Source organism: Homo sapiens, chromosome 9, assembly GCF_000001405.40.
Source record: "Homo sapiens chromosome 9, GRCh38.p14 Primary Assembly".
Taxonomy (NCBI): Eukaryota; Metazoa; Chordata; class Mammalia; order Primates; family Hominidae; genus Homo; species Homo sapiens.
Window position 1 is genome coordinate 123796288 of NC_000009.12, and position 14414 is coordinate 123810701.

Genomic DNA, 14414 nt, shown 5'->3' on the forward strand with positions numbered 1-14414 from the left:
TTTCCATATTTGAACACACACATTTCACAGTATAGGACTCCCAAAAGCACAATCTCACTCAGGCACAGAACATGACCATGCTTAAAAAGCTATGTCTTCACAGCAGGAAAAAACTGATCTCCTAAACAAACATGTCTAACATTTTTTCTTTTAAGAAAGGCTAATCTTCTTCCATCTCAACAGTCTATGTTTTCCAGTCTTCTACTATACATACTTTTAAATCTTTAAGATATACCAGATTGCTACAGAATGTTTAATTAATAGAATAAGAGTGTGTGCAAGACTTACTGGAAAGGTGCTATAAATTATTTTACACAGGCTCCAAAAACCCTGAGTTCTGCCTTAGGCTTAAAGTTCCTAGAAAACGTGGTAGACAGATCTTTTACAACAGAAATGCAAAATAATTCATAAAAGTGCTGTGGTTACGTATGAGGGCTCATTTGTACATTGGTAACTCCTATGTGTACATACACACACACACACACACACACACACACACACACATCTTACCAAATTATTTTCCTGTTTCCCTCTGTCATACCAATGACTTCATTTAAAGAGTCAAGGCATGACATATTTTTAAACTGATTAAAAAATACACCGACTTCACTTTGTACAAAACACGTTAACAACTGCATACTAACCAAACGCCATCATCTCCTATAATAGGACCTCTTTTAGGAAATTTAAGAGAAACTGCAAATGTAGCAGTTAACACGGGAATCTACACTGCTTTCACTTTTAACATGTTAGGTATTCAAGGCAGAAAACATTACATTTAATGCCCGCTGAATTTACCCAATCATTATCTCTAGGATATTTCAATCAATAAGAGACAAAATATTGAACATATTTAAAGCTTACAATTACAAATTCTGCCCTTTAAGAAGCAGGACTTTAACATTAGCTATACACCATATAATCTCATTGTTCAATTTCATGGAGTTTGAGATACTATCTTCCTCTCCCCACAACCATAAATGTTAATCCAAGCTGTAATCAGATTTAATTTTCCAGATGAGAAGATGGGAATATGCTGCAAACAGGATAACAGTCCACTACACTGCTCTTTCACTAATGACATTTCCAAATTTTATACACTAAAAATGCAGACTTTCAGAAAATAGTCTAAGAAGTTGTATAGTTTGAGAACAAGCTCAAATTTTCCCCAAAATACACCCAGAAATAAGCTTTCTTTTAATCCTCAAGAAGAAAATTTTTTTGTATTATGCAAAATTAAAGTTTCTTGATAAGATGACCGCAAACTGGACTGCATTAAATATAGCGTTTCAAGGACACTAGTAAACTTACTATAGCTATAAAAACTCAGCTTCATTTATTTTACATTGTAAAATACCTGACTCATTAGGTTAGCATTTTGTAATAACTAAACACAATTATTCTAGTAAATTATATTGTTCGATTGTTAAAATTTACTTGTTACAAATAATATATTTTTGAAAAGAATGTTTGAAATGTTTTACAGAGTTTAAAAATCACCAGCATGTTTTCCTTTTTTTGACAATGAAACAAAAAGGTTTAGGTTGTTTTTCCTTTTGAATTTTTTTAATTAAAAATTACTCTTTTCAAAAAATACTGATTCTAAAATGCAGATTTGACTCTAAAATTTGAAAGACGTCTAATTCATAAATTAGAAAAAAAATCATTTTGAAGGACTATAAATGAACATTTATTTGGATTCCACGTACAAATGAAATTTGTTATTTAAAAAAAATCTATTCTAGGTGTAACTTTTTGCTTTAGCACATGAAGGCTGTAAGACATAAAAACTTTAAATCATCCCAATTTTTAACCATGAGTCTAGTCTACCATTTTCCCCCAACACTGGCATTTAAAGTATAATCAAATGCAATTTCACAGCAGCCAGCCTGATAACATAGGAACAGTTAACCATCAACACCCATAATAAAAACACAAATAACATTATTCAAGGAAAGACAGCAAAAACCCACCTCAGTATGGCAAGCAATGGAGCCATTCACATGCCAGATTCCTCCTCAGACTAACATATTCTGCCATTCAGACATATCCTGCTCCGATGTGACTATTTATGCATAAACAGCAGACACTGACCTATTGTTTTCAGTTGTTGAAGTTATGAATGTAGTACAGTTACCAATTAAGTGAATCAACAAGTCCTAAATACATCAGCTGTTGTACAAATAATGAGTCCATTGACATTATACAGTAAAATCTAGGGAGTTTCATCTTTCTTTCTGGAGAATATGGAAGGATTTTAACCAGCAAATGCCACTACTTACTGATAGTTTGAAATATTTTTTATAACTTCATCTACAAAAGGAATATAAGTCTGATCCTTAAACAAATTTATGCTATGTGAATCCAAAAATCAAACATAAGTGAAATTCCAAAGGGAGCTTTAAAATGCAAAAGGAAGGGTAGGGTGTGCTGGAGGCAAAAAAAAAAAAAAAAAAAAAAAATCAAAAGGATATGTTCACTTACATTTACCTTTTTCTCTACTGAATATCTTAGTTTTCAACTTTCATTATTACTTAAATTTAAATATTTGGAATTTTTTAAAATTACTTCAAAATTATTGGAAACAATTCCTAAAATCTATCAAATTGATAGATAATTATAGATGAGTTTTTTTATGATTATAATCTCAGGCTTCCATGTAATTTCTCTATGAGTTAGGATTCATTTTATCCCACTTTTTTGAATGAGTAACCTGAAGTGTCACATTTTTATGCCAATATGAATAATTACTTTATACTTTGCCTAAACGACAGCTGTGCCCTTTATGTATTACAAATATGACATCACTCCATATGGTCTTCATAAATAGATGTATCATATGTGTCAAATTTGGTGAAAAGAGATAACTTATTTATTCAAATATAAAAAAACTATTTGATGGAACACCCACTATTTGCCAGGCACTGTGACAGGCATTTTAGAGAAATTTTCTGATTTTACCTTCCTGACAAAGCTATGCTATAGAGACTATCAAATCAATTTTATCATAGTTAAAGCAATAGGTTATCACTTGTCCAAAGTTAGAAAATTAGTAGTCACTCGTGGAACAAATGCTCTGCTGTGGCTGGCCCTGTTGATAAATAAGACACAGTCCTCACCCTCCAGGAGTTTACAGTCTAGCCCTAATGGAGAACACACAGAATTAAACAAGCAGGTACCATGGGGCTTGGTAAGTGTGATACTAGGAGTTAATCAGCACAGGGGCATCTGGCCTTGTCCTAAGGGGGCAGAAAAAGGTTCCACGAAGAAGTAGTAGAGCCAGGGGTAGAGTCCAGGACTAGATCAGGGCTCATCCCATAACACGGCACGCCCACTTCTGAAGCATATACAATATAGTGAATAGGTCTGTTATGAGGCCAAGTTCCATGTCTTACTTAACTTTGTCTCCTACAAAATGTCTTAACTGTTATAAATACCGAACAAATATTTGGAGTGTAATAGAATTAATAGAACAAAATGAACTCATTAAACACCCTGTGTCTCCAAGTGGATAAAAGGCCAATTTCCAAATATCCAAATGAAAACAAGCCTTTGAATGCTACAGACTTCCTAAAGATCACACTGACATGTCGTAAGCACACAATAAATATTAGTTGTTGTTATATTATTAACCCCAATGGAGAAATAAGCAAGCACTATAAATTCAATGACTACAGATGTATAGGTGTGCCTCAAATTGGAAATACATGTGTTCCTGAAATAAACTTTTATAAACCCAATTAAAATTTTCCCATTGCCTTCTACTGCTTACTTAGAAACACTATAACTTTATCAGAAACTGATTTTCTCTACATTGTCAGTAGTTCCAAAATCTTTAAGCTACAGTTTATTCGCCTCCTGGCATCTGTTTTGCTAATGATCTGTAAACATCAAATACACAAGGGACTCCCCCAGATTTACAGAAACCCTGAGGTGAATCTGTATAAATTGAAGGACCCTTCTGCTAATTCCTTTGCTTTCTAAGTTTGCATACTGGGTTTCAGGAAGAGTCCCACTAAACATTTTTGCAGTAACAATTATAATACTACCAGCTACCTCTTAGGTATACCATTGCCATAGGTGGCTTAATTTTTATCCTATTTCATCAAAATGACTCTTCCAGGTAAGTAGAAGCTCTCTATTTAATAAATAAGAAGAGTGAGGCTCACAATGAACAAATTCAGAGTTAAGTAACAGAGCTGGGATTCAGCCTGAATCCATCAGGCCCCAAAGAATCCAACACTGGCTTTTCTTTTTGGCTTTATTTATTTACATCCTCCTGTTGATCTGTCTTCTAGTCATTACTGTGACTCAACAATAAGAATACATCTGGACAAATAACTACAACATGTTTTCATGAAACAGGCCTTAGCGGATTATGAATGACAGCTTTCCAATTTCTTTATTTATAGTCCTCTGCCAAGTTCAGGATATAAATAAAATGACTCCAAAGTAACTGGCACTCTATTCAACTAGTAAATACAATATTTAAAAGATGAATTCATATTAAAAACTTAGAATAATTTTGAAGGCTAGAGTTATCCTTATCTCATCTATGAAAAAAAATTGCTAAACAAATAGAGTAAATAAAAACACAGAGAAAATGTCTTCCTACTTAAGAAAACATGTTCTCATCGTGTGTTCTAAACCACAATGAGAACCCCAATGCTGGAGTTCCCATTCATACAGGAGAGACAATGCGGACATCTCTGCAGGGGAAGCACATGCCCATCAAACAGAGCCTTCCTTATACCAAAATCCTGTCTTCCCCACTCCACCCTGCTTCCAGGGAACAAGCCACTGCTGCCTAGCCCTTATCTGTACCATTAGAGAAGCAGTGCCTATGTCCTTTGAGACTTTTGTTGTTGTAGTAAAATATACATACAATTTACTATTTTGACCATCTTTAAGTACCATGTTGTGACATTGAGTACATTCACATTGTTGTGCCACAATCACCACTATCCATCTCCAGAAATTTCTCATCTTCCCCAACTGAAACCTTGAACCCATTAAACACCAACTCTTCATTATCTCCTTCTCCCAGCCCCTGGCAACCACCAATCTACTTTCTGTCTCTATGAATTTGAATAGTCTAGTTACATGATATAAGTGGAATCACTTAGCATGATGTCTTCAGGGTTCATTCATGATGTCGCATGTGTCACAATTCCCTTCCTTTTCACAGATGAGTAACATTCCATTGTATGTAGATACCACATTGCTTATTATTCCATCAATGGACATATGGGTTATTTCCACCTTTTGGCTATTGTGAATAATGCTGCTATGAACATGCATGTGCAAATGTCTATTCAGGTCCCTGCTTTCACTTCTTTTGCATATATATCCACAAGTCAAATTACTGGATCATATAATAATTCTACATTAATTTTTTGAGGACCTTTACCATTTTTAATGTTTTAAGAACTTTATGTAGTAAAGCTATCCTAACAGCCTACAATCCTTAGTGCAGACATTAAGACCAACCCAGCCAATTTCATATCTGTGTCTTAAATATAAATCCCTAAACCTGGCCAGCTTAATCATTTAACTTTCCCACAAAACTTGACATGCTCTATTCACCTTTCTCATCTTCCCACTATCCAAATCTTTCAAAAGATGCACTTAGGCATCACTCATAAATGTGACCAATTGTATATTCTTACATGAATTAACAGTCAATCATACCAACACTTTTTAAAAATTCAAAAGACAAAGAACTATGTCTTCCATCAAAAGTACACTGAATTTTTAATGAGGTTGCCACAGGAACAGCAAAACTGGCACACTCACGTCTATGGCTCCCCAACTCACAAAACTAACTTGCTTTTGGCACTCCTGGTCAGCCAGAAGCAAAACTTGCAACCTCTTCTAAGCTCCCTTTACATCCTTACCTTCTTACTGCAACCGAATGCTCACTTCCTCTGGGGTCCTTTCAAGAGTTGGATGTTTCTTCCCTACCTCTCCGCCCACTGGCCTGGAGGTGGGATAGATGGCCTCTGTTCATTAGAGCCACTTACAGGCCATTCACCTTCCTTACTCTCCAAAACCCTAGATTTTAACCTCTGGTCACCAGACCATGCCCTCCTCCCTACCACACCAACACCACCACCACCATTCTGCTTTGTTGTCACCTACTAATTCCAGGGTTATTCCTCATCCTTGACTCTTGGGGATCATACTGCATTGCCACTCACTCTAACACCACTCCCACAACAATCTCACCCTCTACTCCTACGGTCACACCCTAAACTCTACCACTACCAATAATTGAAATCCCCTTAGTAATTGCAAATTTCAAGCATCTCAGTCTCCAACCATGATCCACCTTCTCTCTTTCCATTCAACCCCTGTAGCACTCTTCCTTCTTCTATTCCACAGGGGCATATACTCTATCCATCTTTTCACTACTGCCTTTTTTTTTTTTTTGACACAGAGTTTCACGCTTGTTGCCCAGGCTGGAGTTCAATGGCGCGATCTCGGCTCACCGCAACCTTCGCCTCCCGGGTTCAAGCGATTCTCCTGCCTCAGCCTCCCAAGTAGCTGGGATTACAGGCAGGCACCACCACACCCAGCTAATTTTGTACTTTTAGTAGAGTCGGGGTTTCTCTGTGTTGGTCAGGCTGGTCTCTAACTCCCAACCTCAGGTGATCTGCCCTCCTCAGCCTCCCAAAGTGCTGGGATTATAGGCGTGAGCCACCACACTCAGCCCTTTTCACTGCCTTTGATCCACCTCAGGTCTACATGATTCTCCTTACATAGCTTAAATTCTATTGTTATAACTGTTCCTTTATACACATTCTCATCTGCCTTGTGCCTCTTTGTCATCCTCTCTTGGCAAACTCCAGTCATTGTTAAATCCAACTACCCGCCTGCACCCATATAGCTAACAGGGGGTCCATTTTCATAGCTGTTTCATGTATACTTGGAAACTCCTGACACCTTATAGTTTAAGGTATGTGGCTGGACAAAAACACACAGCTATGCCGATTAATCTCACCTTAAATCTGTGGTTAGTAACTGTAAGTGAGCTTTAATGCAACTCAGTAATTATAACACATTTTCCTTCATTCATTCACTTTCTTTTTCTCTCTCTCCTTGGTGACTATTTTATACTTTCTTCTCTTCCCTCAAATCTTCTCCAACCTCAATTGCCACTGATTCCCTTACTGGCCACTTCCCTGAGAAAACAGAGGAATCAGAAGAGAACTCCCACAAGCCCCACCACCACCTCTATTCTCCCACCACCTCTGCCCCACAGACTCTGCCTTCGTCTTATTACGTGACCCTTGCAAAGGTCCTTTGTCCACTTGTGAAAGAGGACTCCATCCCCTCTTGCCAACTCAGACAGAGCTCCACCAATCCTCCTGTTTTATTCATTTTACCTCTCTATAGGATCTTTCCCATCAGCATAGAAACATGCTGTTATTTCTACAGATATTTCTTAAAAGGTCAAGCCCACTTTCCAACAGCTACCACCCCATTTCTCTCCTTTTCTTTGTAGCTATATTCTTTGAAACAGTGTCTATACCCACAGTCACCACTTTGTCGCCTCCTACTCTCTTGGACCCATGACAACCAAGCTTTCACCTCACCGCTTCTCTGAAACTACTCACATACCAACAGCCACACCAATGACCTTCTTTTACTGCTAACATCAATTATCAATCTTTAGTCTTGATCTACAAGCACAATTTCACACCCATGATTGCTTCTTCCTTGATACAGTTTGGCTGTGTCCCCAACCAAATCTCATCTTGAATTGTAACTCCCGCAATTCCCACATGTTATGGGAGGAACCCGTGGAAGGTGATTGAATTATAAGGGTGGGTCTTTCCTGCAATGTTCTCGTGATAGTGAATGAGTCTCATGAGATCTGATGGTTTTAAAAATGGGAATTTCCATGCACAAGCTCTGTCTTTGCCTGCTGCCATCCATGTAATACGTGACTTGTTCCTCCTTGCCTTCTACCATGATTGTGAGGCCTCCCCAGGCATGTGGAACTGTAAGTCTCATTAAACCTCTTTCTTTTATAAATTGCCCAGTCTCGGGTATGTCTTTATAGCAGCATGAAAATGGACCAATACACTCCTGGAGTCACTTTCTTTCTTCAGGCGGCTTCCAAAGCATCCCACTCTCCTGCCTCACTGGCTTCTGCAGGCTCCTTGCTGATCTCTCCCTATTGAAGAGCTCCAGAACTCAGTCCTTGGACTTGACTTTCTTTCCTTTGCTGGTCCTCTTTCAGTCCCATCACTTCAAATATGCACTATCAATTTTAAATTTATTTCTCCAGCTCCTATCTCTTCCAATTCTAGACTCATTTATCTAACTGTCTACTCAACATCTCCACTTGACGTCTCAAATTTAACATATCCAAAATGGAACTCCTGATCTTTCTCTCACATCCCAGAGCCAATGTATCAGCCACTCCTGCCAACTAAATCTTCAAAATATATTCAAATTCTGACCATTTCACTCTATCTCCACCACTAACACCCTGATTTAAGCCACCATCATTTTCCACCTGGATTAACTACCAATAGCTTCCTAACAGGTTTTCCTGCTTCTGGTTCCAATTTCCTGTAGTCTGTTCTCAAATAGCATCTAGAGGAATCCTGTAAAACTCAATACAGGGCCTCCTCTACAACGTCCTCCCTTCACCAGCATACCTCTGCACTCACTTCCTAACTCTCCTCTCCTAACTTTGTTCCCGCCTTGCTGGTCTGCTTGCTGCTTCTCAAACATGCATGCCATGCTTCCACTTCATGGCTTATACCCACACAATTCACTCTGTCTGATAAAATATCAAGGAATAAGGCATGTGCTATCAGATTTTATTCACAAGGTAGTTTCCCAATGTGGCCTTCCCTAATCACCTTATTTAAATTTATAATTTTCCTATCCCCACCATTCCTCATTCCATTTTCCTGGGTTATGTTTCTCTTTAGTGCATTTCACCATGCAACATATTATATACAGGTAGAGTAGCTTCTCTTTTTCAAAATGCTTGGGACTAGAAGTGTTTTTTCAGATTTTGTAATATTTCATATACATAATGAGATATCTTGAGGATGGGCCCCAAGTCTAAATGCAAAATTTATATTTCATATATACCATATACACATAGCCTGAAGGTAATTTATACAATTTTTTTTTTTTTTGAGACAGAGTCTCACTCTGTCACCCAAGATGGACTGTAATGGCATGATCTCAGCTCACTGCAACTTCTGCCTCCTGGGTTCAAGCGATTATCCTGCCTTAGCCTCCCGAGTAGTTGGGATTACAGGCGCCTGCCACCATGCCCAGCTAATTTTTGAATTATTATTAGAGTCGGGGTTTCATCGTGTTGGCCAGGCTGGTCTCAAACTCCTGACCTCAAGTGACCTGCCCACCTTGACCTCCGAAAGCACTGGGATTACAGGTGGGAGCCACTGCACCATCCTATATATTATTTTAATAATTTTGTGCATTAAACAAAGTTTGTACAATTAACCATCAGAAAGCAAAGATGTCACTGTCTTAGCCACCCATGTGGACAATCTGTGGTTTGGCATCACCATCATTCCCAACTGTGAATTTATATGCTACCAATAAGCAATTATTTTCTTGTACCTATTTACATATAAGTACCTAACAGTAAAAAATATGACATACTGGTTTTGGGGGGTTGTTTTTTGTTTTCAGATGGAGTCTCGCTCTATCACCCAGGCTGGAGTGCAGTGGCACTATCTCTCCTCACTGCAACCTCCACCTTCCAGGTTCAAGTGATTCTCCTGCCTCAGCCTCCCAAGTAGCTGGGATTACAAGCACCCGCCACCATGCCTGGCTAATTTTTGTATTTTCAGTAGAGATGGGGTTTTGCCATGTTGGGCAGGCTGGTCTTGAACTCCTGACCTCAAGGGATCCACCCGCCTCAGCCTCCCAAAGTGCTGGGATTATGGCCACCATGCCCGGCCAACATACTGTTTGTTTGTTGTTTTATTGAGACAGAGTCTCGCTCTGTCACCGAGGCTGGAGTGCAGTGGCGTGATCTTGGCTCACCGCAACCTCTGCCTCCTGGGTTCAAGCGATTCTCCCGCCTCAGCCTCCCCGAGTAGTTGGGATTACAGGTGCCCGCCACTACGCCCAGCTAATATTTGCATTTTTAGTAGAGACGGGGTTTCACCACATTGGCCAGGTTGGTCTCGAACTCCTGACCTCAGGTGATCTGCCCGCCTCGGTCTCCCAAAGTGCTGGGATTACAGGTGTGAGCCACCGTGCCCAGCCCTGACATACTGTTAATAGAGTGAAAAAATAACATGTTCAGAGTAACTTGTGACATCACATCAGCACTCAGGAAGTTTTGGATTTTGGAGCATTTTGGATTTTCAGATTAGGAATGCTTAACCTGTACTTATTATCTGTTTTCCCCTCCTAAATTATACACTTTATAAAGGCAAGGATCTTCGCTTATTTTGTTCACTACTGTATCCCCAGCGCCTGGAAAAAGGCCTAGCATATAAATACTGAATGAAAAAAAGAAGGAATGAAGGAATAAAGGGAGTAATACCCTTTCTTCTCAAATACCTCTTTTGGCAACATGTACCAAAAGCATTATCAATGTCCTCACTCTATACCCTAGTAATTCCAAACCTTAAAATCTATCTGAAGGAAATAGTCTGAAATGTAGGTACTTTTTAAAAATTTTTTCAAGCATCATTGCAAAAATTGAAAGAGTGTTAATAAGTTCAAGTGATGCAATATTTACATCACCATAACATGTGGAAATACATCATTGCATTATGAAGAATTAACTCAAAATACAAAGATTTATCATACTGTAATAGCAGTTATCATTTTTTAATGTTCTAAATCCAGACTAAAATTTAACTCATCAAAATATCTAGCCATGAGTGAGTTGTAGGATTATTGGTGATTTTTTTTGGCCTTATATTCTGAATTTTCTATATTTTTAATAAGATTCATAATTTTTTAAATGAACTTTGCAAATAAATATGTTCCTGGGAAATTAGATTTACATTACAACAGTTTATAATGTCCCCATCTGCCTCTTCCAGGAATCCATCCCTGACTACGTCAGCCCACATTTGACTGGTCTCCTCCCTAAGCTTCTGTAATATTCGCTACTTTGGCAGCATAATAAATGACTAAGCACCTGATTATGCACCTAATCATTTCTCGTCTTCGACTGTTAATTCTTTCATTTAAGTACTTGTCTCCCCAGTAAGTAAAATAAGCCACTCCAATGACCAGAACCCATGTCTCCTTACCATCTGTGCTCTTGCCACAGATAAAGGCACCACAGACTTCAAGCACAGTGCACAGCACAGAGTAGGCTGCCTTCCATACATGTTTGCTGAATTGAATTCTATCTGAATTGCCCTTATTAAATTTCCTGGGATAGATTAATTCAGGGGCACTCCAGCCAACTCTCCTTCAACAGACTTCATGGAATGCCTATTCTGTGTCACACACTGTGATAAGCATAGTCCATGTCATGCCACTTAAGCTTCACAACTCTGTAACTCTACAAGGTAAGTGTTGCTATCCCCAGAAGATCAGGAGAGATGAAATTCCTGGCTCATAATCACACCAATGGTAAATGCAAAAGCTAAGATTCAAACTCAGATTTAACTTTAAAACCTATATTCTTGGCCGGGCACAGTAGCTCACACCTGCAAGCCCAGCACTTTGGGAGGCCAAGGCAGGAGGATCCCTTGAGGTCAGGAGTTCGAGACCAGCCTGCCCAACATGGTGAAACCACGTCTCTACTAAAAATACAAAAATTAGCCGGGTGTGGTGGTGGGCACCTGTAATCCCAACTACTCAGGAGGCTGAGGCAGGAGAATTGCTTGAACTCGGGGGTCAGAGGTTGCAGTGAGCTGAGATCATGCCATTGTACCCCAGCCTAGGTGACAAGAGCAAAACTCCGTCTCCAACAAAAAACAAACCAAAAAAAACACCAAAAAACCTATCATCTTAATCATTATGCTTACATGGCAGAGGTTATCAGCCTTTAGCATGCATCAAAGTCACCTGATGGGCTTGATCAGTTTCTGTTTCAGTAAGTCTAAAATAGTATCCAATAATTTGCTTTTTTTTTTTTTTTTAAGACAGTCTCACTCTGTCACCCAAGCTGCAATGCAGTGGCAGGATCACAGTTCACTGCAGCCTCAAACTCCTGGGCTCAAATGATCCTCCCGCCTCAGCCTCCCAAGTAGCTGGACCTACAGGCAAACGCCACTATGCCTGACTAATATTTGTATTTTTTTGTAGAGGCAGGGTTTTGCCATGTTGCCCAGGCTGGTCTCAAACACCTGAGATCAAGCAATCCCCCTGCCTAATTTTCATTTCTAAGTTCCCAGGTGATGTTGACGCCCCTGGTCTGGGGGACTACACTTTGAGAATTACTGTTATACAGACTTGATAAAAAAACTAGCAACAGGAATCCACTCATCAAAGTTCCTTAGAAAAGGTGAGACATCTTCAACTCCATCCTTCTAGTCTCAGCTCAGGTTCTATAATACTTCCCAGTGAAAGCTCTCAAGCCAACAACCCCACACTGGCAGGTTCAGTGCCCGTCCTATGTGTTAACCCTAAGCATTCTGCAGACTGGCTCACTCTATCTCTCTCACAACATTCTGTGGGCCCTCCAGTATCACAGAAGCTGGAAAGCTACAAACTATTTTCCAAAAAGCCCCTGCAACTAAGATCCTGGGTATGATTTAGGTTCTGCCAGTCAGATCCACCTAGTGAGACCTGAAAGCTCAGGGATGTGGGGAGACAGGAGGCAACAGGAGGAACCCATTTTTCTGATACAAACCTAGAAGGAACGGCACGATGGTTTCTATTATCTTCAGCTGGACCATGACTGATGCACTGCCCCCTGCATGTTCCTCCGAGTACTTATTTATCTTCCTATCTGCTATGCCTAGAACAATATTAGACTCATAGCACACAATCATTTTTAGTAAGCTTTCAGAAAATCACAATAGCCATTATAATATTTAAAAGATTTGGCATGAATCTTAAAATGTTGGACTGGAAATCAGCAGACCTAGATTCTGCCACTATCTGATCTTAAATACATCTCTAAACCTGAATTCTCTCACATATAAACTAAAAATGTTTACTGAGTTTTTTTGACTCTAAAATTCTATCATTCTATGATCTAAAAGCCTGAGACAACTCATTGCTTTGGTAAAACATCAATGCCTATAAGTATCCTATAAAGGAAAATGGCCCTGAGGAAAAGTACTTCTTTCTGGTTTTCTGTGTGGCTAACCACTCTGTAGAATTAACAAGCCTCTCACAAAAGAAAGAAAACAATTATTAAAGATTTTTCAATGGAGAAAAATTCTAAATTTAAGCAGCAGTGGCTACTTAAATGTCATTCTATTTATGCCTTCTTGCTCTGTCACCCAGGCTGTAGTGCAGTGGCATGATCTCGGATCACTGCAACCTCCACCCCCTGAGTTCCAGCAATTCTCGCGCCTCAGCCTCCAGAGTAGCTGGGATTACAGGCATGCACCACCCTGCCCAGCTAATTTCTGTATTTTTACTAGAGACAGGGTTTCACCACGTCGGCCAGGCTGGTCTCGAACTCCTGAACTTGATCAAGTGATCCGCCTACCTCAGCCTCCCAAAGTGCTGGGATTTAGGCAGGAGCCACCGGTCTGGTCAACAATGAGAATTTTAAAGGCTCCTTTTGTCCTGTCTGCCTGACTTTGCTTCATGATTTTCGCTTCATTATCTGGAGGGGTTTCCTCCCTCTTGCTATTAATGTAAAATCTGCATTTCTGTAAAGACCTCCTTTTTGAGGACCAGTAAAACCTATATGGAATAACAAAGATTACTGGCCTGGGGTAATTCTATCTTAAAAGATCTCTCCTCCTCAATTTGCATTTCCTCCATCATCTCATGTTTTGGCCTCATGGTGTTGGCCATCATGTCTCTCTTTCATGTCGCAAGGCAACTCTTTTCTGGGTGGAACTCCTCAGGCTGTCTCTTGCGCCTGAACTCTGCATCCATGCTGACTGACAGGTGAGATGCCAGGGCTTGAGAAGCAGAGCACACAGGAAATGTGCAGTATTGGGGAAGGCAGGTACACAAACAAAGTTTTTAAAAAGAGAAAGAAAAGGCCAGGAATGGTGGCTCACACCTGTAATCCCAGCATTTTGGGAGGCCGAGGAGGGAGGATCACTTGAGCTCAAGAGATCGAGACCAGCCTGAGCAACATGGTGAAAACCATGTCTCTACAAAAAAAAAAAAAAAAAAAACAAACATACTAACGAAAGCTGATAAACTAAAGGAAAAAAAAAACTATTAATATTTTAAGAAAGTTTACAAATTTGTGTTAAGCCACATTGAAAGCCATCCTGGGCCACATACAGCCCCAGGCCATGGGTTGG

The 14414-nt window shown here is 39.5% G+C and overlaps 1 protein-coding gene across 41 annotated transcripts in view; it reads right to left on the reverse strand.

Moving 5' to 3' along the window:
- DENND1A (DENN domain containing 1A) overlaps nt 1–14414 on the reverse strand; it is a 550469-nt gene that overhangs the window by 416630 nt on the left and 119425 nt on the right. For 3 of the 41 annotated variants that reach the window (XR_007061334.1, XR_007061335.1, XM_047423626.1), the window contains exon 1: nt 12827–13127. The exons of 29 other annotated variants lie outside the window; for them this stretch is intronic. Coding sequence is in view for 10 of the 12 variants with exons in the window: in XM_047423626.1 (XP_047279582.1) it covers nt 12827–12968 (142 nt within the window). In the remaining 2 variants the exon portion in view is untranslated. Of the gene's footprint in view, nt 1–12826; nt 13189–14414 lie in introns of those variants that run through there. 9 more of the 41 variants (XM_047423614.1, XM_047423616.1, XM_047423615.1 and 6 more) reach the window with 8 other exon arrangements.